At 37.5% G+C, this 23,902-nt stretch overlaps 1 protein-coding gene and 1 long non-coding RNA gene across 4 annotated transcripts in view; one reads left to right on the top strand and one right to left on the bottom strand.

Annotated features, from left to right (window-relative positions):
- MLLT3 (MLLT3 super elongation complex subunit) overlaps window positions 1-23,623 on the top strand; it is a 280,831-nt gene extending 257,208 nt beyond the window's left edge. For both annotated transcript variants that reach the window (NM_004529.4, NM_001286691.2), the window contains exons 7-11: window positions 1,687-1,816; window positions 4,451-4,550; window positions 10,413-10,484; window positions 11,696-11,767; window positions 18,718-23,623. In NM_004529.4, the coding sequence (NP_004520.2) occupies window positions 1,687-1,816; window positions 4,451-4,550; window positions 10,413-10,484; window positions 11,696-11,767; window positions 18,718-18,849 (506 nt within the window). In that variant the 3' untranslated portion in view covers window positions 18,850-23,623. The remainder of the gene's footprint in view (window positions 1-1,686; window positions 1,817-4,450; window positions 4,551-10,412; window positions 10,485-11,695; window positions 11,768-18,717) is intronic.
- Window positions 3,836-18,173, bottom strand: LOC124902129 (uncharacterized). 2 transcript variants are annotated; one of them, XR_007061434.1, is made up of 4 exons: window positions 14,505-18,173; window positions 13,147-13,261; window positions 12,892-12,986; window positions 3,836-3,964 (listed from the first exon to the last, which is right to left on the bottom strand). It is a non-coding gene; the product is annotated as an uncharacterized LOC124902129 (long non-coding RNA). The 2 variants fall into 2 exon arrangements; XR_007061433.1 differs by lacking the exon at window positions 12,892-12,986.
- Window positions 23,624-23,902: the final 279 nt, after the last annotated feature.

The raw sequence follows: 23,902 nt of genomic DNA, 5'->3' as shown, positions 1-23,902 counted from the left end.
GTTTTATTATTCGAATCATAACTTGGCTTTTATGCAGTTGTATTTATTTCCCTTAGGAATACAGTTGAGTATTGTTCTGATGTACGAGGCAAGGCTCTAGAAATTCCCCTTTTTCCGGTCCCTGCCATCAGATTGTCATTGCTACAAAAGGATTATAGACACAGCCCATCCCAGGGAGTTCCCAAAGGAAATACAATAGCAAAAGCTTTAAGAGGCTTTGACATAGGGAAATAGGTTTTCATCTTTCCTCCTGGACATATTTTTTTTCTACATGTTAATAGTCTTTAAGGCAATACTAATTGGCTATCTTTTAAATATATATTTTTCTCTACTCATGATCAAGTGTTAACTTGAATTCAGAATAAAGACATTTAAACTAGAATATTTAACTAATTATATTTTCCATTTTTGTGTATGTGGAAAATCTTCAAATATACACTCTTTTTACATGAAAAATGCATAGGTATCAAAGTAGAATTTGTGTTTTAGCATAGTATTGAACATTACCTTTTTCAATGACCACACTGAATTCCTGATGGCTTTGAATGTTTTGAAAAGGATTAAATTGTTGTATGTGTTTGGACTAAGGCTAAGCTTCCAGGAAAAAAATAAAATAAAAGACAGTAATCGTTTTGGCTATTCAGAGGTCTTGTTTCACTGACTTCCAAAGAAATAAGCCCACTACAAAAGCAGATAAATTTGGGTTTTGCAGAATGTGAGATTGTAGGGAGTCAAGATAGTAATAGCTCAGATATCCCTGTCATAGATGGGACTTTAGGAATTGCCTAATCCCGAATGAAAGTGTCTCTCTTTCTTCATTGTCTTTATAACCTCTTCTGTTAAGATTAAAACTATCTATTTTTCATCACATTTAGCCTAGTAAAGTGAAAATAAGCCACACTGATGAATTTGTGTTTGTGTGTGTGTTTTCATTTCTGTCCTGTCCTAGAATAAAATTAGAGTTTGATTTTTTTTCTTTTTCCTGTCTGATACTGGATACTGTCCTGATTTTTCTGTGTACCTGATTTATTACATGGTCTTGTTTATGTTTATACATGCTGGTATTGTGCCAGTAATTTCTTAAAAAGTAAAATGAAAATTGGCTGCTTAAAATTGCTGCAACAAGACCTTGTGTCCAAGATCAATGTGAAGATCAGAGGTAGGATATTACACCATGGAATTGAAATACTTTATAATCTGAACTTGACTGAAATGCTTGCTTGACCTGAAATTGACCTTGAAATAAAAGGAACAGCTAAACCTTAATGGATCAAAAAGTACCACACAAAGGCTGCATTGCCAAGAACAAGTTACAACCACAGTGATTTATTAATCTCAACTTCTCAATACATGGATTAACCTAACAAAACATTCAATTTACTGATAGATTTTTCTTTTTCTTTTTATGTATAATTTTTCTTAGGGAAGAAAAATACACAGAAAAAAAATTCCTAGAAAATAGAGATTCTTTAATAAATATTTTGGGAATCCATTATGAAAACAATAGTGTTTTGGCAGAGATTGCATTTTAGAAACTATACCAAATTTGCCTTGTAAATTGTATAAATATATATGATGATTATTTTTAACCAGTGTTCAGTGCTGGTAAGCATCCCCCTGTTTCTAATATGGCTAAGTGTGTTTGAGTATATGTTTGATTGCCTGTGGTTCATTGTCATTACTCAGGTCCTTTGAGGTCTATAATGAAAGATCTGCATTCTGATGACAATGAGGAGGAATCAGATGAAGTGGAGGATAACGACAATGACTCTGAAATGGAGAGGCCTGTAAATAGAGGAGGCAGCCGAAGTCGCAGGTGAGTATCTTGGAAGGAAAGGGGTTGCCTGTGATGAAGTCAGACTCTTTCACAAGCCCTGCTGGGATAATCACAGCAAAGGTGTGAAACACCAAAAACGGCAGTAGATGGTCACATTCATTTGATGCAGGGTCTCCTTGGTATGCCTACACACACTTTACAGGGAACTGTTTCTCCTTTTTCTCAGAAAGAGGCTTTTCCTCTAAAAATTTTTATAGGAAAAAGTCACATTAGATGTCCTTGTCCTTGGAAAAGTATGCCAAGTGGCAGGACTGACTGTTGAACTAAAGTCTGTTTTCATTTGAAGAGTTTGTGTTGATCCACTGCTGGAGATAGTCTCAGAATTTGAAGAAATGTGTTTGCTGTTTGTAGTTAGAAATACATAATTGGCTCCAGTGAATTATGTGTGTGACCTAATTAAAACTAGGATCACCTGTGTGTTTTCCAGAAAATAAATTCCTTTTAAGTGTGCTGACAATTAAGTGCCTTAAGTAGCTTTAATGCTGTGAGGCATAATTCCATGTTATAAGATGGTAATTCATGTCACTTATAATTAATACTCAACTTGAAATTGCCCTGAGGATTTTATTTCTTTATCATGAAGAAAACAAATAGGCATGCTTACTTTAATTTGTCTTGAGTGGAAAAAATACGAATCTACTTGAATTTAAAATCCAATTACATTTATAATATATTGCATTAAATCTTTCCCTGTTATCCATTACTATGTAGAAGACCCTAAGATTCAAAAAAAAAAAAAAAAAAAAAAGCGGTCTTAACCCAAACTGGAGAGACCGATGCTTCCTAATTGCCAATGCTTTGTCCTCTGAAAAGAGCCTCCTCAGGGTGTGTGCCCCATTAGATATCTCAGTGACTGTTTTTTATGGTCATATTCAACCCCTGTTTCTCTCCTTGTCTCTCAGACCAACCTGTCAGCATTCCTTTTAAATAGGAGAATATAACCTCTTTAATATGCCCATGGCCTTATAACATTTCCCTTTAGAAGTCTTTTGTCTGATAAAAAGGAAACTGATAGGGAAAAAAGACCTCAAAATGGACTGAAACTTAAAGTAGCTTACTTATACCAACCAAAATCCTGACCACTGGCTGCTCTCAAGTTTAGTTGATGAAAAACGTATGACCTATTTAGATGATTTCCCTAGTTGTTATTTAGAATATCTGGATATTCTGTGATTAGTTGTTGCCCACCTACTTATTGCTGCAACTCCTGAGTCTGTGTGGTCATCATGTAGGTTTGTGAGTCATCTGATACAGATACACATTTTGGGGGCTGCTTTTCTTGTTCCCTGCCTGACCGTGCTGTGTTAGCATGTCAGTGCCAGTGTAACATTTGATCTTCACTGCACTTGTGAAGTCTCAACTGTTTAATCAGTTTAAATACTTAGCCTTCCACTTCACTCAAGACACATTTTAAAACAGCACTTCAACTGAACACTTCATTAATGTAATTTAGTTAAGAAAAACAAGTTCTATCAGTTTTTGCTAAAAGGATGTCCCAGTGTATCCTTTTCATTTCCTATCTTGTATCTTGTCTGTCTGAATACATTATAGAGCTAGAATGTGATTGCCTATTCAGAGTGAAAGAAAAACTATCCTGATTTCTAAAACAGTTTCTGTTTCTGAGAAGCATATTACATTAGGTGCTATATAACCAGAGAGGAGGGGAGCAAATACGGAAAGAGGACATCTCTGAGGGAGGACTACATTCAGCACAGTAGAATAAATAAATCTCTCCTATTGTGGATAAAAGAAAATTCCATTTTCTTCTGAAAAGAAAAAATGGGGAGGAGGTGGTGTGGATTGTCTTTAGTTCTTTAATTTTTAAAATATATCATTGTAGTTTTCCAAAGCGGTTATCCCAAACATACCATTTCTTTGTGTTGTTGTAGCGTATTTCCAATGAATTGTTGTATCAGTGTTCAGAACTAGAGACAGCCTTGAATAATGACACAGTAGAAATGATTGGTAATGGTCCTAGCATGCCGGGCTCCACATGTTCAATCCTTAGATGTCACTCTGTGCTGTCAGCGGTGCAGGGCTGTTTTCTACATTCTTTATGAAGTTTCATTTATGTGGTTGCTTCTTCCCCTGCAGCGTGTATTCTAGACATGTTTGTAACTTTTTCATCTGTAACAGAGAGGGAGGAGGAAAGGAAAATAAAGGTAGTAATCAACAAACTAATTTTGCTGACCTTCTGTAAGCTTGAGTAGCATGCTTGATCATAGTAGGTAGGGAGAGCAGGAGAAGGGAGATGAATGAATAAATGACCCCAGTAAAGTATAGTGGCTGAGCACTAGCTTTGGGCCACTTGCTTGTATTTGAATTCCAGAGCCACCATTTTTACCTGTGTGACCCTAGATGAGTGACCCAGTCTTTCTGAGTCTCAGTTTACTCGTCTGTGAAACAGGAGATCATGAAAAGAGAAATGGCAGGTAAAGCACTTAACACAGTTCCAGTTACAAAGTAAGCACCAATATGTGTTAGCGGCTGTGAGTTAAAATGAACTTGTCAAGGGTTAGTGTTTGGATTCTGTGCTTTCCACGCCTATTTCTATGGGTATTTCAAGAATCATCTGTTTGTAATGATGTGCATAACTTGTCTGTTTCTTTTCAGAGTTAGCTTAAGTGATGGCAGCGATAGTGAAAGCAGTTCTGCTTCTTCACCCCTACATCACGAACCTCCACCACCCTTACTAAAAACCAACAACAACCAGGTAAATTGTGGGGTTTGCACTTTGCAAGACTCTGCAGAGCTAGGTGTAATCATTTTTACAAAGCATGCAAAACTTTCATCCCTGAATTTTAAACAAACTTCCTCTTGATGCCAAATAGATGGGAGGGAGGCCACAGCCTGTGGAATAAACACATAGTTAGGGTATAAGAGGTTCTGCTGTCATGAGAAGATGAATATGTTCCACCAGATGGGTTAATTAAGTTAGTACAATAAGAGAGGGTGACAAAAAGTATTGCCCATTTACCATTTACTCCTGATTTCTATATACTTTACACTTCAGCAGTAAGTAGGTGCCTTAATTAGGAAGAATATGACCTTTGGGCCTAGTATAGAGCTTGGTTCTTTACCACTGGTAATTTACTGGTGGGAAATTAACTTTTAGCTTTTGATTCTCAGTTTCCTTATCTGTAAATGACATTAACACTATCTTTTAGGTTATTGGGAAGATGACAAATAATATATGTAAAGAGCAAAAGGCAGTGCACAGCCCCTCCTTGGCACTCAGTTGATGGTAGTTTATTATTATAGGTGTTCGGCCTCAGTTTTCTCGTCCAAGATAGAAGGATTATTACTTGGGATTTTAAGGAATAATTAATAAAATGCTGAGAAAATAATGGTCATTATCATTGTTACAACTTGAGCTAAAGGAAAGCTTATTAATTTGATAGTCAACTCAAAATATAACTATTTGGATAAGATCTAGGCAGAACTTTGAAGGCTATGATAAAGAGCATTTGTTAAATAAATTAAATCGGGATATTTTCTTTACCAACTAAAATAAACTATTTTCAGTATCATGAATAATGTAAAAGCCTCATTGAGCATTGAATTGATACTCTCATTACCATAAGTTTTTCTTATCTTTTTGTGTCGACAGATTTCCTATGACCTCTACAATAACTGCTTAATTCAAGTTACTGTACGAATATTAACTTGAAAACTAAACAACTGTGTTTTTCTGAAAATACTGTTTCACAGGTGTCCTTCAATTTTAAATAGTCTTGCCCTTAAATCCGTGGTCTTTGTGTTACTTGGAAAATGTTAGTTTAGAGCTGAAGACTTTTTCTTTTTGCATTTTATTTAAAGCACTAGCAAAGATCTCTTATAGTTTAAAATTCCTCATTTATAAGGTTTGTCTATAATGCAAATCCGTTCTTGTTAAGTAGGAATGATACCAGTACTCTTTGTTGTACCAGTTACAGTTCAACTGCAATTTCTTTGTGTCCTACATTAAAATCAAAGTCCAGCCTCATTATCTCTTATAGATGGGGTATTCAGCAAGTTATTTACTTCTTTTTCCATATCCTGGCTCTTCCCCATCTTCAGGGCCAGCTGTGCTCATGGCCCAGCCGTCTTTTACCTCTGGTGTGGATGCCTGCCACCACAAGTCAGGCATTTCAGAGGAAAGTAAAAAGAGGAAAGACATATGCATCATGGCCAATCAGCTGAGAACACTGGACTGGTTAACTAGAAAATTTGGGATCCTTTTGTAAATTTGTGCTTCAGTGAGAACTAGCATTAGAATAGAATTTGAACCTTGGTGAGATTTTTTTTTTTTTTTTTTTTTTTTTTTTTTGAGATGGAGTTTTGCTCTTGTTGCCCAGGCTGGAGTGCAATGGCGCGATCTTGGCTCACTGCAACCTCCGCCTCCTGGGTTCAAGCGATTCTCCTGCCTCAGCCCCGCGAGTAGCTGGGACTACAGGTGCATGCCACCACGCCCAGCTAATTTTTGTATTTTTAGTAGAGACGGGGTTTCACCATGTTGGCCAGGATGGTCTCGATCTCTTGACCTCATCATGCGCCTCACAAAGTGCTGGGATTACAGGCATGAGCCACCGCTCCCAGCCGATGATATTTTTAAATCCAACCTAGGCATATTTCAGCTTGATTTCTGTATCCAGTGGGTGGTATATGAGAGCTACAATACGTCATGGGCACAGCAGTGGCAGGGCCAGGAGTGTAGGGCATTAGGCTCTGCTTTTGTGCCCCTCACTCATCTCCTTCAGTATCTCTCCCAATCATAGTGAAAAGTGGGCTTGCTAGGGAATGCAACTCCAGCAAGCACCTTTCATGCCCTTCAAACCTTATGGCTTCACTTAAGCCCTTCCTGAATGGGCAGTCTTGAACAGACCTTGGCTTTAGGGAAAGGTTTAGACTCTTTGTCAGACTGTTTTTTACCTGTCTAGCAAAACAAAACCAAAAACGAATAGTATCGTCTATCTGGAGAGGGTAAAAGTTACCTTATCTGATTAAGTAGCATACTCCTGGTTCCTTGGCGTGTTTATTTGGCAAGTGTTGCTTCACACATGTGAATCATCAGTCTGCCAATAATACTGTATTATGTGTCACTTTCTCCATGCACTTGTAAGCATGGTAAGAAAGTCCGTATGCTTCCACTTTTAGCTAGTCTGGGTTAGGAAATATATATACCACAGGAGGGCTTACCTTCTTAGAGCTATGTCTTGGAGCCGAGAGGACAAGTAAAGGTTTCTTAAACCTTGTTTAGTATTGGTTTCCTAGCCCCTCAAATCACTTGCACTGGGGTCAGGTGTGATGCTATCCCTTTAAGTCAAGCTTCTGGGACTTAAAAAAAATTACTAGTATATCTTAATTCTCTATGTTGATGGTATAAGAGAGTAAAAATTTCTTAAAAATCTAAAAGTCAACTAAATTTCACTCTGGAATGACTTTTTAGTCGTATTTGAATGTGTGTGTGTGTGTGTGTGTGTGTGTGTGTGTGCGCAGGAGGGAGGGAGAAAAGTAGGGGGAGAGAGACAGGGATAGAGAAAGAGTATGAATCTGAATTTTCACGATTAATAAAGAGTTGAGAACATACTTGGAAGGACTAACTCCGAAATGGGAACACTCTTGAGTTTCCTCCTTCCATACTCCTTGCCTGTTCTCTCTCTATGAATTGATAATGATCTCTGAGTTTGATAAAGCACCAGGCAAAGCTGAAATGTCCATTGCCTTTTCTCAAATCTTCCAGGGACTAGAGAAGAGGGGAAGTACTAATGGAGTCAAATATTTTCATACTGAATAAAAGTGAACATAGAGTCACACGTCAACCAAGCAAGTAATTAACCTGAGTACTGTTGGGAGCTACTGTCATTAGTATGAAAGATCTATCAGTAGAGAATCCATCTGTGAATAACTGAGTTGTCATTCTTCATAAAGTGATACAGAAAAATATAATCTTGAACGTTTGTCAAGACATTTTCTCAGATTAAAGACAAAAGTGCTACTAAACCACAATTCTTCTATTTTCAGAGACTGCTGTATCTATAAATGGAGTAGCTAGGCAGTCTAGGTAGCTCTGCTTCTCTCAGTACAATTTAATAGGTAATAATAAAGAGTGTTGCGTCATTTCAACCAGAGATGGTTTTTTCACTCCAAACCTCCCTTATGTGAATTTCAAACAAAAACAAAATACCACATCTTTTTTAGCCAGAAGCTTGGCAGGGAGGGAGGGGAGAAAGGACTTGAAGGAAGGAAGTGATCCATTGGACCCGGGTTAATATTCAGAATATCATAAATCACCTATCAGCCTGCAAGGCATGTTGAATGAAATTAAAAAGAGTCTATCCAGTTAAACTGGTTTAAAATAAGCCTGTGGAAGACAAGGTGTTGTACTTTTTTATTCTGGAGTTGTTTCCCTAAAGATAAGAAATGATCATAAATAAAACAATTGTCTTCAGCAGGGCTCAGCTCTCTCAGAATGAGGTTTTGACAAAGCTGTTTATTTTGGAGCAGGGAGAGATCAAAGAAGGAAGATTAACTGAGCCCTCTCTGGGCAGCCACTCAGTAACTTGAGGCGGGTCACTGACACCCGGAGCTTTTGTTCCTGCCACTGCAACTTCAGAAGAAAGAAACTAGGATTTCAATGTATTTTGGCCTTCTGTGCTGTAGCACTTACGGAATGTGTGGGGTGGGACTTCAGCGTCCAAATGTTCTATTTTCTGCTTTGAAGAAAAGGTGGCAGAACTCTCTAAACCTAGTTAGCAAAGTTCTATTGCAAATACAGCGTCCTCAAGTCACTTCAACACCCAGAGTACAGGAGTTGGAGGAGGGGATCGTGGGAGGCAGCGGGATATGATGGGAACAAAATTCAGTTCTGTAATGCACAAGTCAAGCAGGCAGGCACTTTTTTTTTCTTTTTTTCTTGCCTGAAATCTCAGCGGATTGTCTCTGCATGCCCAGCCCAGTATCTGAGTTGGCGAGGAGTGCCATCTACTGACCTACTTGCTCCTAGGTCTCAGCGCTGATTTTTCCCTTGAGATCTCACTTTCAACAACAATGGAGGAGGAAATTCTGAATGTAGTGGAGTATTTGGTTTCCTTTACAGTGGAGCATGTTAAAAACGATTGCCTTGCCTCTGTTAATACGTAATTTCCTTGTGTTGCCAAAAGTATTGTATTTTAAGTTAGCCTGGTCAAATTAGTCATTTGGTTATCTTCATATTAAAAATGATGAAAAAAAGCATGATTGTCAGGAAAGACTGTTAAAAGGACACTTTTTACTCGTGCATTATTCTCAATTAAAATAAAAATATGCCCCTTCAGGAGTATTCGGTCTTTTCCAGGATGTCATGTTCCTATCCTCATCCAGTAAAATGTTTATTAGTAATAAAAAATGTTAAAGCTGAATGGGAATCTGGGTCTTATCTTGTTCATCTCTCCCATTTCATCCTTTGCGGTCCAAAAATATTAAATAATAAGGCTGGGACTTGAACTTGGGCTTCTGAGCCTAATCAGTGCTCTTGCCACTACAGATTAAAAGTGGACTCATTCTTAAAATCTTTATGTTACGGAATGTGGTAAACTTGTGGACAGAAGTGTTACTAAGTTAGGGCACAGAATGGGTAAAGAGAACAGTAGGAATATAAAACCTCTTAAGATAAATTAGGTCCTTTATTTGGCATTTTCCTCCTTTAATATTAGTCTCCAGTTATAACAACTCACTTCATAATGAGTTATAATGAAAAAGACAAATTACTTTGCTTTTTGTGTTTATACACATGTGTAAGCACTCATCATTTATAAATTTAGTGGTTTCAAGCTTTTTCAAGTGAGGACCATTTAAAAATACTTCCCTTTTAATCCTCAGTTTTGAAGATGCTGTCAAAGAAATCAGCTGCATTTATTAAATAATAATTTGCTTCTCCTTTTTATTAAGTAGAAACATAGCTTCCCACCAAAGCTTCTATACAGTATGTAAAGCTATTCATAACTTAAGTTGTAATCAGTCCAGATAAAAGGAAAAGCACTTGGCGTTTTACCAAGGGTAAACACATCATTTCTTAAAACACAGAAGATAGTCGGCCATCTTCATTTCCAAAGCTGTATCAGTTTTGTGCATATGAGTAATTTTAGAATGTGAAAGTTAGGTACTAAAAAGGGCATTTGAGTATTTGTTTTTATCATCCCTAGCATACTGAACACTAGTAGTCATGCTGAAACAGCAGAATGAATAGGAAAAAAATTCTTGCCAGAGGGAACTATAATCTCTGTATAACTCAGCTGCTATACATATGGTGAGAGTGTTGTCGCAAAAGAGAAGCAGCCTTGGAAGCTTAGATCAATTTCCTTATCATCAACTGTGTTGTTTTTTTTTTTTTTTTTTTTTTAGTTCTACTTTTCTGACTCAGCATTTCAGATCTAAGTAATTCATTTTCCAAGGAAAATAAGATTAGAGAGAAGAAGGAAAATGTATAGAAAAGAAATGCTATTTGGAAAGCAAATGTTACTGTACATTTCATTCAGTGGATGCCTTTGTTTAGGTGGCTGGTTAGCTAAGAGATGCTTGAAATAAAATTTAACACAGCGTTCTCTTTGATCCCTAGATTCTTGAAGTGAAAAGTCCAATAAAGCAAAGCAAATCAGATAAGCAAATAAAGAATGGTGAATGTGACAAGGTAGGTTTCTAGTCTGTTACTAGGAGGGCTCCAACACTGACAAGCCTTCCGTTTCTTTGTGTTGCCCTTGATCATCCTTGCTGGTTCTCCTTTCATTTTCTTCATCAAAGTGTCCAAGATGCCCAAATGATGAGTATTTCATCCCAGTGCTTTGTAGTTTGTTTTCCATGTGTTGTTTATATCTTCAGTATTAAGCTTGGCCTTATGCTGTCATTTGCCATGATGCCTACGTTGCCAAGGGATTTCAGGCACATTGAATTGGGAATTAAGAGAATTGTGGTAGAGATAGAATATTAAGGAATCTCAGATGTAGATGAGCAAGACATCTGATGCTAGTGCAGTGTGCTTTCCCAGAGTGTGCGTCATGCTTCTGAAACCTGACTACAACACCTGGTGGGGTTAAGTTGCCTGGTTTGGGCAGAGCCCTAACCTTGCTCTGTAGGGCCAGGGCAGACCTCTGTAATGTTTCACAAATCTTTCATTTGCCTTTATCGCAAATGGTGCTGGGGGCACCCATGCAGTTACACTAACAAAGACTCGTGAGTCTGAGCATATGGAAAGAGAGGTACCCCCTCTCCCCTTTCAGGGGAGCTCTTCACAAATCAGATGATAATTAGATAGTGATCCCTGTTTTTCGTAATACATTCTTCTGTTCTTCTGTCACTTGCTGGCATTGCTTACTAGCAATGTTTGGTATGACCAGGAAGCCTTTTTAAAACAAAAACAAAACAAACAGGAAAAACCCCACAAAATTCCCCTGACTTAATTGGTAATGTACATTCTTGTTTCCATGTTCAAACTTAGAATTTTTTTCTCTTAGAAACCTTCTGAGATTCAAGAATGAAAAAAAAATGAAAGTAGCCTTTGTTAATATGTTTAAACTCACAATTTAGCATTTAATTTCCCTACCTTTTGTAGAGATATTGTTGGAGGAAAGTGAGTCTACTGACTTGAATCTTCATAAGAGCAATTAAGTCCAAGAATTCACTCCAACTCCCTTTTTGAAGTTGGTGTGATAAAGGTAATGACTGGTCCAAGACAGGCTTGTTCTGCAGAGGCCTTTGGGCACTGAGTGCACACAGCCTGGGCTAGAGTGGTGTAATGAGAAACCTCCAGCTGCTGCTGCCTGTGTGTTCTTACTTACATATTCATTTATTTTTGAACTACTACTTAAAGTGCTTGTCCTTTTCGGGGACATTCTTCTCTTTCAGGCATACCTAGATGAACTGGTAGAGCTTCACAGAAGGTTAATGACATTGAGAGAAAGACACATTCTGCAGCAGGTGAGAAATGCTTTTTAGCACAACCCTTTCCAGAAACTTCAAGACTTGGTTTGTCCTGCAGTAGTGTGATAGCACCTGGAGGCCACTGCAGCCCCACGCTATCAGAACCTGGCGAATGCCACCTGTAGATGTATTTGGGAAAGGTTCTCATTTCTGAGGCCACCTAGAAGTCTGCTCTGGAGCTCTATGGCAACTGTTCTCCCTCCTCTAGTGCAGTGGATGGTGAGAACTGGGCAATTTGGGAAGTGATACTGGATTGTAGTGATCCCTCAGATGGCTGGTGTAATGTGGGCTCAGGGAGGGGACAGTAGAAATGCAAAAAGCTTTGGGGCCAGGCTTCTGGTTTCATGGGAAAACAGTGATAAGAATTTGAGTCAAGTGTTGTAAACATTTGTGATTCAATTTAGTAACCTTTGCCAATGATATTCTAAGGAAAATAAATATTTTCTTCATTTCCCTTATCTTGTATGACATACATTCTATTATTATGAACTCAACTGTGGAATACTTGTAGTGGAATACTTGTAGAGTGGGGAAACTTCTATTAGTATAATTTGATGTTTTGAGAAGATAAGAAGGGTGGTTTTTCATTTTCATTCAGTTAATGATGTATGCCTCTGTTGCACTACCAGCAGCTATTGGTAATTTTTTTTAACACCCAAAGAGAAGAATGTGTGTTCTAAATTCCAGGGCAGACATGTAGATTGTTTCGCTGTTTGAATTTTTTTCTTCTTTTTTTTTTTACTACTTTCAAATGACTTGACGTTAGTACTTAATCTACCCCAGCTGTGTGTGGGTTTTTTTTTTTTTTTTTAACATTTAATGGCTGGTGGTCACATTTATATTCTGTGTACATTTTTGCTTACATCTATAAATATATACTCTCAAACTTGCCAAGTTTCCTGACTGGCCTGATAAGCTTTTTAACCCTTGTAGAATTTTAGATTTGAACAAAAGACTACAGACCTATGATTCTTAATTGCAGATAAGTTGCATTTCTTGCAGTTTCTTTTTAGTTAGTATGGGTAAGGAAGCAGGACTTAAGTGGCCTACCATGAGTGGTGGTCTAGTACTTTGCTAATATTCTTCTTAGGCCTCTTTTGAAGAACCGAACGTTGTTTTACCTGTCATTTTCCAAATATTTGGGGCTGGCATAATGCTGATTGCAGATCTATTGCATGATCTTTCTCGTCTCTTCCCAAACACCAGCTCTGAACCACTGTGGAGCAATTGTCCAATAAAGCTATTAATGCCCAAGCTGGGCCCAAATAGTGAGTCTCATAGGAGGGTGGGACAGATGTTTGTGCAGGGTTGGGACATCTTCACAAAGAAAGCCCTATCAGTTAGTCAAGGATACTAGGCCATTGGGCAGATCTTACCTTGGGGTGTCATTGGCATTCGCAATTTAATGTTGTCCTTTATTTTGACCTTATAAGAATTGCGAAGAAAGGTGGCTTACTGGAGAACTCCATCCAAGTGGATTATTTTAGTATTCTAGAGGGAGAGAGTAATATCTGTGAATTTTTAACCTGGCATAAAGGCACTCCAGGGCACACAGCATTTCACCCTAATTGCATTCCCAGGCCGGTTGAAAGCTCTCAGTCTTTGGCCTTTTGCCTTGTAATGCAGCTGAGGCTTGTGATTATGATACCATGATGCATGTCCTGTCACGGTTTACTGCTTAATTAATTCCTTTTGTAAAACATAGCACTATTGAGGACTAATGTTATTCTCCACCTTGAGGGCTGCTCATCTCATGGAATTCATTCCACAAAGTCTACGTATTCTCTGCCGTGCAGACTTGAACACCTGAAGCAGAATTTCTGGTGGGCCCAGGATCACATCTAGGTCCTTTCCTGTTAAATGCATCCTATCCAAAAATCTGGCCTGACGATTTTATTTGGCTCACAAAAAGCGGTTAATAACTTTGTTTTCCTCTGGGGGCATGCAGTCCTGGCACTCGGCAGCTAGTTTAATGAACAGACAGCATTGGATCAAGGAGCCTGTGTTCCTAAGCCACTTTTTCAAAGGGTATAAATACAGTAGAGTAGACACAGTCAAACCAAGAGAAGTGATTACCTAGGACTGATGAATAATTTGATTGCTCTTTAAACCACATGTTCCACATTTATTTGGAAAGTGAGATTGAACATATGTAACCTCCCCAGCAATTCAGCTCTAAGCCTGGATTTGCATCCACGTCTGGGGGAAGAAAACTCTGTGGGAAACCAGGTTTCCTAAGAGAGTAGTTTAGCAATTTAGAAGCCAGCCGTCATTCTTTTCGAATTGTCTGCAGGGAATGGGGAATCTGTGGCGTATTAGAATATTCCTTCTAAGAACCCAGAGAACCCTCCCTGAGAAATGTTCTGATGAAAATGATGTTCTCCATCCTGGGAAATTACTTGTCATATCTCAGCACCCCTTGTAGATTGGAGCCTGATGGCCTATCCCTTAACCAAGGGTAGGGCACACATTTTTATGTGGTGGTTGTCCGTGCTTTCCAGACCATAGTAGAGGCCATTCTATGGGAAGACCTATGTTATCCCAGATCTGGCTCTACTCCATAGAGAAGCAGTTAAAGTAAGGCCTGTTCATTACTCCCCACACAGCGAAGAGGCTGCTTCACATGGAAAGAACCCTGGTTTTTGAAATTATAATCAGACCAAAATCAATGCATTTACCTTTTTATAATTAAAAATTGGGGAAGGGAGCCACAGATCTGACAAGTGGATCTTACCCTGTTTAAAACAAAATGAGACATCCAACAGCCTGCGTAGTACCGCTTGAAAGGCTGATGTGGCAGGAAATAATCCATCATGAATGTTTTCACAACAACCATCATCTGAAGAATGAGTTAAGCAGTTTACACACTCTTCCTTTTCCACTACCCATATGTACCTGGTTGCCTGTTTTTCTTTCTTTCTTTTTTTGAGACGGAGTCTCGCTCTGTCGCCCAGGCTGGAGTGCAGTGGCGGGATCTCGGCTCACTGCAAGCTCCGCCTCCCGGGTTCACGCCATTCTCCTGCCTCAGCCTCCCAAGTAGCTGGGACTACAGGCGCCCGCCACCACGCCCGGCTAATTTTTTGTATTTTTAGTAGAGACGGGGTTTCACCGTTTTAGCCGGGTTGGTCTTGATCTCCTGACCTCGTGATCCGCCCGCCTTGGCCTCCCAAAGTGCTGGGATTACAGGCGTGAGCCACCGCGCCCGGCCGCCTGTTTTTCTTATCTGCAGTCACTCTATCTACTATTATTATTATTTTGGACAGACGTTAATTATTGCACTATGATGCAGAGTAATGACGTCAAGGTCAAGCCACACTGCATCAGCAAAGAGGGTATTCCTGTAGAAAGGCACAGTGGAGTTCTTCAGGCACTCATGGGGTGTGTTCAGGCTTTGTGGCCTGTGTCAATGGAATAAAGCATGTTAATGTTGTTTCTGACGTTCTAACTATCAGGATTCCTGGAAAGCAATGCACACTTATTTTTCTTTATGGAGCCCTTACTTAAATGAGGATGTGGGCACATGCTCTAATAATTCAAATCATTAATGCCATTCCCTTTGGCAAATAATTCCCAACTCCCCAGCTGCTGCCACTGCTACTACTTTAAGGCTGTTTCTCTGCATCTACCTTGATGTATTCTTGTGGGCTCTCATAAAAACGTGGGGCTCATTTAGTTAGATTTATCAGATCCCCTTTATATTGTTGTGCATGTGTGGCTGCAGGCCGGGCACAACATGGTGATAGAGGAGGTAGCGGGTGGTGATGGAAGTACTGGAGATCTGCAAGATAGCACAATGCATGAGAAATGCCCGGGCTGACGTTTCTAGTGGGCAAAAGTGTTTATATGCTTTAAAATTAAGTGGCTTTTTTTCTAGAAGGGATTTTTTTATTGCCCAGTTTTCTATTTGTTATTAAATAATTAGGGAACAACTATATTGGGTCGTGGAAAACTGTTTTCTTAAAAGAATGAGTTACAATTTTTTTTTTTTAATTCAAGCCGGCCTTTCTGAGTTTTAGTTTCTGCATTTTCTTGCCTCATTTATTTTAGTGCTAATGAAATGGCTAACACTCATTGGGGGCGAGAGGAAAAAGCATCAGGTCTATAATTCATGTGCAGTTTAGTCACCTCCCAGATAATTAAGGATCAGTTTATAAGGTAATCATAATCATGTTATCCTGACTTAGGTAGCAATTTACCATTTATAAGAAGCTTTATTTATGATACCTTATTTGATCATCTGCCCAAACTTGTACAAGTAGAACAGGTAGCATTACTCTCATTTTCCAGATGAGGAAACTGAGGCTCAAAGGTTATGATGTTCTGTCTAATACCATTGAAAAAGTTTGCAGAGTCAGAACTTGATATGCCAGATCCAGAACTCTATTCTGAATGCTTTGTCAATTACCTACTGGGCAGCTCGCTGAGGAAAGGAGTCAAATTCTGGTCAGCTTGTTATTTGCCTCCATTGCATAAATTTGAAATTATAATAGCTCTAAAGAGACTACTTGTTTCCATCCTGAAATTTACACATTTTCACTAGATTCATAGTATTTTTGCACAAAATGGCAAAAAAAAATTATTCCAGAAAATACATAGTCTTAGTTCAATTGATCTTAATTATATAGTAAGTATATGATTGACATGAAAAGCCTCTGTGGGCATAGCTGTGTGTTTGTGTTTCTGTATGTGTGTGGATATGTGTGGAAGACTTCTTGAAAGTTCTGTTACTAATAACTAATAAAACAAATGTGTGTCCATTTTAGATCTTTTAGTGTTAATAAGATCTTGTTGGATACATTTTTACATAAATGTAGCACTTTAACCATAATTGGGTACACTCCTTCTAAGAATTTCTTGATGCATGTAACAGAACCTTGAGTCTAGTGGTTTAAGCAAGTAAGGTTTTCTTCTGACTCCCTCCCCACCTATAACAGTAAGCCTGGAGGTAAGTAATCCGTGGTCGAGATAGTGGCTTAAAAGATGCCACTGATGACACAGGCTCCTTGTCTTTCTTTTCTTCCATCTTTCATAAGCTGTATTCGTCTTCTTAATGGGAAGACAGCTGCTGCACTTCCAAGCACTGCATTCCCATTGCACACAGGAAGAAGGAAAGAAGGCAAAAGATGCATACCCATTGTCCATACCCTTTTCAGAAATATTCCTGAAAACAGTGAGTTCTGACAAATAAATTGTAAATAGCAGCATCTGACAAGTGCTGCAAGTAGGTCTGGGGAGGCAAACATTGTAGTTGGGCAGCTCTCAGAAAAACGGCCTTCCGTTAATAAAAAAAAATTAAGGAATAAATCGATATTAGGGAGTTAGTTTGCAGCATCTGTTGTTGCATCCACTATGAGAGTAGCTTATTTTAATATTAAGGCTGTAGTTATATCCCTAAAAAATAGTTCCAGAGATTGGGTAAGACAATAACAGCTCAATCTGGAGTTGAGCAGTTAATTGGATTGAGAGTTAATATGTCATGCTTCTGTGAAAGTCAAATAATATGTCAGGAATGGGGAGCACATTTTCTATTAAGAGCCACTGACCTATAGGGAGTAGTTCACAAATTTACTGTATTTTTTAAAAGAAAGCTAATTGTAAGAAGAGAAGGTTAAAAGTTTCAGTTCTGCTGTTACTCAGCGTGGCATTAGGTAATCTAAAACTTCATTAAATAAATGATAGGCTCAATAATTAAAATTATTCTCTTTTTTAAGATTATTGACCTAAAGAGAATCAGAGGTAAGTGATAGAAAGAGAATAACAGACAACTCAAATCAGGTAGAAGTTTGTCAGCTGTTTACTCTGTGCAAATTTTCTTTTATTGCCCTGATACTAACTTTGCTGCCTCCCCCAAAAAACGCTGTGCCCAATACACTGCCCAGATACAGCATCCATGTCCAATAAAATTATTAGTAGAATAGGAATGGGAAGATACTTTACATGGTAAAAGAATCTCTCAAACCAATCATCACCTTCATTCTTAATGTTGAGACTTCAGAAGTGTTCTCCTGAAAGCCAGGGCAAGAGTAATAGTAACCGTCATCTCTGTCATTTAACATTTTTCTGAAAGTTGGAGCCAATACAAGAAGAAATGAGGTATAACTATTCCAAATGACAAGACAAAGGCATCCTTTCTTTTTCTAGATAATATTTCTATTTAATTGAATACCTTAAATATTTAAAATCTCCCCAAAATATTCAGGGGAATCAAGTGAACACAACTAAAAGTAATAAATATGTTTTTATTTTTATGTTAAAGTATAACAAAGCATTCAGGTAGATACATTTTCACCAAGTGACAACATCTTATGTAACTAGCACCCAAGTCAAACAACAAAACAGTTCCAGTACTCTAGAAGGCTCCCTTGAGCCCCCTCTGGTCACTATCTGTTAAGGGGGTGGGATTGTAGACAGTTTCTTTCTTTTCCTTTTTTTTTTTTTTTTTTTTTGGGAGTTCCTGTATTTTCCAAATTATTAACAATTATATAATGATAAAGGAAAATGATTTTATATAGGGGTGTGTGTGTGTATGTGTTTGTACTTAAGTAAAAGTAGTTTTGTTATTTCTCGGCTGGATTTTTCTTATGTCTATTAAGTATAATCACTGTCTATTGAGTCAGTAACTAATTTTTAAAGGAGTCTTGAAATGCTATCTCCCCCTAACTGCTCACTCACAGTTAAATATTCTGTTCATGACTTGAAAGCAGACATCAGTTTAAAGGGTATGAAAAGCAAGACAGGTTCTCACTGGGAATTTCTAAGGCTTAATATACCTTTGACTTATCAAGTTGACTGAGACAGTTTAATGCTATTCATGGTATGGGACCTTGTTGCTATAAATACGAATATTTATCACTTGATTCCATATTTGATCGCCCCTCCATTACTCTCTCTTTGCCTTTTGATGTTTGCTGCGTATTGCCCAAACTTTCTCTTCTTCACTCCTCTAGATCGTGAACCTTATAGAAGAAACTGGACACTTTCATATCACAAACACAACATTTGATTTTGATCTTTGCTCGCTGGACAAAACCACAGTCCGTAAACTACAGAGTTACCTGGAAACATCTGGAACATCCTGAGGATATAACAACTGGATGCATCAAGAACTATTGTGTTTTTTTTTTTTGGTTTTTTTTTTTTTTGGTTGTGATTTTTTGTTCTTGTTGTTTATATGAAAACACTCAAAATGATGCAACCAAAAGGGAAAAAATAAAAATCAAACAACCTTCAGCTTTATTTTTCTTTAAAGCCAGTCATCATCTCTTGATAAAGGAGAGGTTAAAGCAAACCAGCCTCAGCGGACCACTCTTCTCTCCAAGGAAATCCCCGGGAAGAGTTAGCCTGGATAGCCTTGAAAACAAACAAATCAAACACAACACAAGAAAACTCAAAGAATGTGTATGGTATCATGTATCTCTCTGTGGTGGTTCATTCCACAGGACGAATGCATATTCAACACACTGCCTTATTACATAACTGATCTATTTATTATCGCATACAGATATTCTAAGTCGTTGAGGGAATGACACCATCAGACATTATAAGTACTTGGTCCCGTGGATGCTCTTTCAATGCAGCACCCTTGCCATCCCAAGCCCAGTGACCTTACTCGTATACCGTGCCACTTTCCACCAACTTTTTCCAAGTCCTTTAACTCGTTGCAGTCTGTATTTTCCACCTTTTGTTTTTCCAGTTCCAGGACACAGATTATCAACTGGGGGGACCAAATAGCCACCTTGATTTTCTTCTTTGTGGTCTTTTTCCTGAAAGTTGGGGCCCAGTCCTTGGCTGTATCCATGTAATGATCTTGGACCATGGTAGAAAATGCACCAAATAGGATCATATGAATTGCTGTCTAGCCTTAGTCAATAAACTTGTAGGACTTTTAAACAAAAGTGTACCTGTAAATGTCCTGAATCCAGCATTGTTGAGCTGTCATCAACATTCTTGTGTCTGTTTTACTGTTACAATATTAGGTGAATATGGAAGTAAAGGCATTCCACAGGATCATCATTTAAAAAAAAAGAATTCTGGTCCTGTTTTCTAAAAAAAAAAACTGTTGTAGAAATTCTTAATTTGGATCTATTTATTAGTCAGAGTTTCAGCTTTCTTCAGCTGCCAGTGTGTTACTCATCTTTATCCTAAAAATCTGGAATCAGAGATTTTTGTTTGTTCACATATGATTCTCTTAGACACTTTTATATTTGAAAAAATTAAAATCTTTCTTTGGGGAAAAATTCTTGGTTATTCTGCCATAACAGATTATGTATTAACTTGTAGATTCAGTGGTTCAATACCTGTTTAGTTGCTTGCTAATATTTCCAGAAGGATTTCTTGTATTGGTGAAAGACGGTTGGGGATGGGGGGATTTTTTTGTTCTTGTTGTACCCTTGTTTTGAAACTAGAAATCTGTCCTGTGGCATGCAAAAGAAAGCAAATTATTTTTAAAAGAAAAAAACCAAAGTACTTTTGGTGTCATTATTCCATCTTCTCCATAAGTGGAGAAATGAAAAGTAAGAACAGCTCATCTTCAAAGTTTTTACTAGAAATTCAGCCGAAAAGAAGAGAAATGAAGAAATACTTCTGGATCCAAAGGTTCGTCACTGGATCAGCCTTAAGAAAGTCTCTATGTGTGCTAATAGACCAGTATCTCCCTTGTTTGTTCCCATGCCAGATGCTGTCTTTTCATACAGAGATTAACTAGTGTCTGTACAGAAAATGGTCTTTCCAGACCCATTCTTTTGGGCAGTTATATAAATGCAGATTGATAATGGAGTTATTTCTGCATTTTAAAAAGGGGATTTTTTACACTGTTTCTTTCTATCCAAAGAAACTATTTTTCCTTTAAAAAATTATAATACAGCCATGCTCCTTGTAAATTATTTCTCTGAAGCGTCCTCCCAGAGGACAAGTGTACTTTCTCAATAATGTTATGATTCTTAATGACGATTGGCATGAACCGTACTTGAAGCATTTGTTGTATTGTCCACTTCTTGATGTGCAGAGAAACTTTGAGTCATTTTGGACATTAGGTGATTGATGAATTGTGTGGTTTCAGTTGCGTTTTGTTTTTAACTTTATAGCTGGAAGGGGAGGGTAATGTTTATATGGAAATGTTGCAAATTTTTAAAATATTTTAAAATTTCTAACTGCTAACACATATTCTGATCAAGCCAGAAGTTTATGTGATTTAATATATCTGTGTAGTTTAACTAGAAACGTATATATGTAGTTTGGGCCATTTTTATTTCTGTAACTAAATTGTGGGGCAAAAAATATGATTTGCCAATGTAAAAATTTTTTCCTTTAAGTTACTAACCAAGAAGCTAGGTAAGATAAGAAATGACCAAACAAAAATAATGATAAGAAGGACAGCTATTATATGATAAACTTTAGACTTGAAAATTAGGTAATAAAGTTAATTTCTTCAGAATATCCTAAAATGTAAGTTTGTAAATTGATAAAGTTCAGAAAAACTTATCCATCTTCTACTCATCAAGATAGCAAAGTAAGTTTTTCACAAAATTAAGACTGAGAGTTACGTTATTTTTTTTGAAGTGGTAATCTTGCTCTCATCTAATTTTTAAATACAGAAATAAAAAGATCCCTTTGAATTAATTTCAAGTAGTTTTAATACCTCTCTTAAAGTAACCCCTTCAGTTCTGTCACATTTATATACACCCAACTTTGAAGCCTATTAAGAATATCTTTGACATGTGAGTACCCTAACAGTGGCTCTGGTTTCTTAAGCACAAAGGGAAAATGGCAGGGTTTAATTTCTTTGGTGTACATATATAAATAGATGTTTCAAATAAAATTAATTGGGTAAATGTGAATATGGTTTGAACCAGCCAGAGTATGATAAACTTTTAAAAAATTTTTCCTCAGTGATCAGCCAGGGGAAAAAATATATGTACAGAGCTCCTGCCCCTCTGCCCCCTTATAACTTAGCTTTTGCCTCTGGTTTTGCAGCAGGATGTGTGTTGGTGGGTTTGGGGTTCCTTCTGTCTTCGGATGTAACAGTCATGTTAGCAACAATATTTTGCAGTTACTTCACCATCCTCAGCATAATCTGCCTCTCTCTCAATCTTAATACAGACAAATAGGTATGTCTATAAATGCGTTCATATAGTGTCAAGGTAGGGAAGACTATAAAAACTTCAGATCAGGAAAAAAATATCTCTTAAGAGAGTGTCTTAAACATTTTAAATTGCTAGGCAATTTAAATCTCTCTAATCTGAATATTCACCTTTTGGTGGAAAGAGCCAGTAATATTGGTTTTCTTCCACTAAAAAGTTTCTTCAAAATTTTTTTTTTTTTTTTTTTTTTTTTTTTTTTGCCGATATCTTTTACAGGCCCACCTAATCTTTAAAAAAAAGAGAAGAAACAATTTTAGGCCTGTATAACATCCTATTTACTACTTCAAGCTCCACAAATGTAGTTAATATATTTGTTTAAGAGAGACTTTACTCTTAAATGTTTTAACTTTGCCTACTTAATGGAGTTGGATGTCCAGTGTTGGAAACAGTCAGTGTCTGTTTGGTGGCTCGTGTTTATTTTTGTCACTGTAGAAGTGATCTGCTCTGGAGTAATTTGCTGTATGCTTATTACTTTCCACCTTTAGCGTTTTGTGTACTAATGCTATGTACTGCTCCTATATTTATATATACATATATATATATATATACACATATATATTATCAGAGTAATCTTGCTTTGGACTGTTGCTCTAAAACTATGAATATGATGTAGAGACTACTACAGCTGCAGTGAATGTTAAGGAGTCAATTCCCATGGTTTAGTTTAGTCTCGGGCTGGAAGTCTACATCTTTTGACCTCTTTTGTTTTATATGATGCTTTTTATTATGTAGGCACTGCCATCCCTGAATATTCCTTGTAAAGATGCAGTGAAGAAGTCAATTTAAAAGGAAGACAAAGCCACCGCTGTCTGTAAACTGTAAATGTGTATTTTGGCACTTGTACTCCAGTATTCTGAAAATAGAGTTATGATGGAAATGCTGACAGATCCTTAATGGTGGCCAGAGCTACCATGCAGTGCAAAAATAAATTAAGTGAAAATGTATTATTGAGATTAACAGTGCAAGGCCAATACATTTTATAAATCTGTCAGTATCTTTTTAATGGACTGTGTATGTGTAGTTATGTTGAAAGATACATTGTGTATGTGTACATGCTTTTGTGTGAATTCAAGGCACACTGTAAGATGTATTTCCCTTCTCTAAAATCCATGTTGAAATGTAAGTACAGATTGATAGAAATAGGTGTTTTACTTAAACTCATATAATCTGTTTCAGCACCTTTTTTAAAATGTATAATTGTACTGATTTGCTGAGAGTCATTTGACCAAAGTTTGGCTTTATTTTGCATACAGGAAAAATTAGCCCCTAGCCTTTTCTCAAGAAGTGATGCTGTTTCTAAAGAAGAATAGATGGGGAGATCTGAGACATCCAGAGAGAGGACAATGTGTCCAAAACCAGCTGAAGGCAGAGAGTCCATGCCTCATTCATTTTAGGAGTCCCTCATGTCTAACACCATCTTCTGTGTCCTAAAGCCAGTATATATATAATATTTTTAAAACTCTGCAAAGATTGGAACAAGAAGTGGTGGGATACATTTTTTGGCATAAACTGGGCTATGTGTGCCCGGTATTTTTTCTTTCCCCCCTATTTCTTTGGAGGGTTTTGTTCAGAAACAATGTGCTATAGCCAGAGAGAGTCGATCTTACAAAGTCCCTGCATTTACTTTCACAGCAAGAACTGCTACCTTGATTAGACAGGAAGGAGAACAACTACTACAACAAAGAGAATAAAATACATTCAGTTTGGTAAATAACCAAGGAATTGGATGTGATGCTCTTACTTAATAGTAAGGAGATTTACATCAAATTTGAGAAACTGACTTTATCTTCATTCAGGCTGACAAGCCATTTAGGGGATTAGAGGGGACTGCTTTGTCTCTTATCAACCCGAAACTGAGTTTAGGTGTGGAAGCATCAGTCCCAGATGGGTTGGGGTGGCAGTAGAACTTTCTAATGACCATACTTGGATTGGACTAATCTGTTCCCTTGTTGTGGCATAGATACTCAATTTTATTTAAAATAATGGCCTTACA

The sequence above is a fragment of the Homo sapiens genome, chromosome 9 (genome assembly GCF_000001405.40).
Source record: "Homo sapiens chromosome 9, GRCh38.p14 Primary Assembly".
Lineage (NCBI taxonomy): Eukaryota > Metazoa > Chordata > Mammalia > Primates > Hominidae > Homo > Homo sapiens.
The sequence above is the reverse complement of the archived record's forward strand: the minus strand, read 5'-3'. Positions and strand labels throughout refer to the sequence as shown.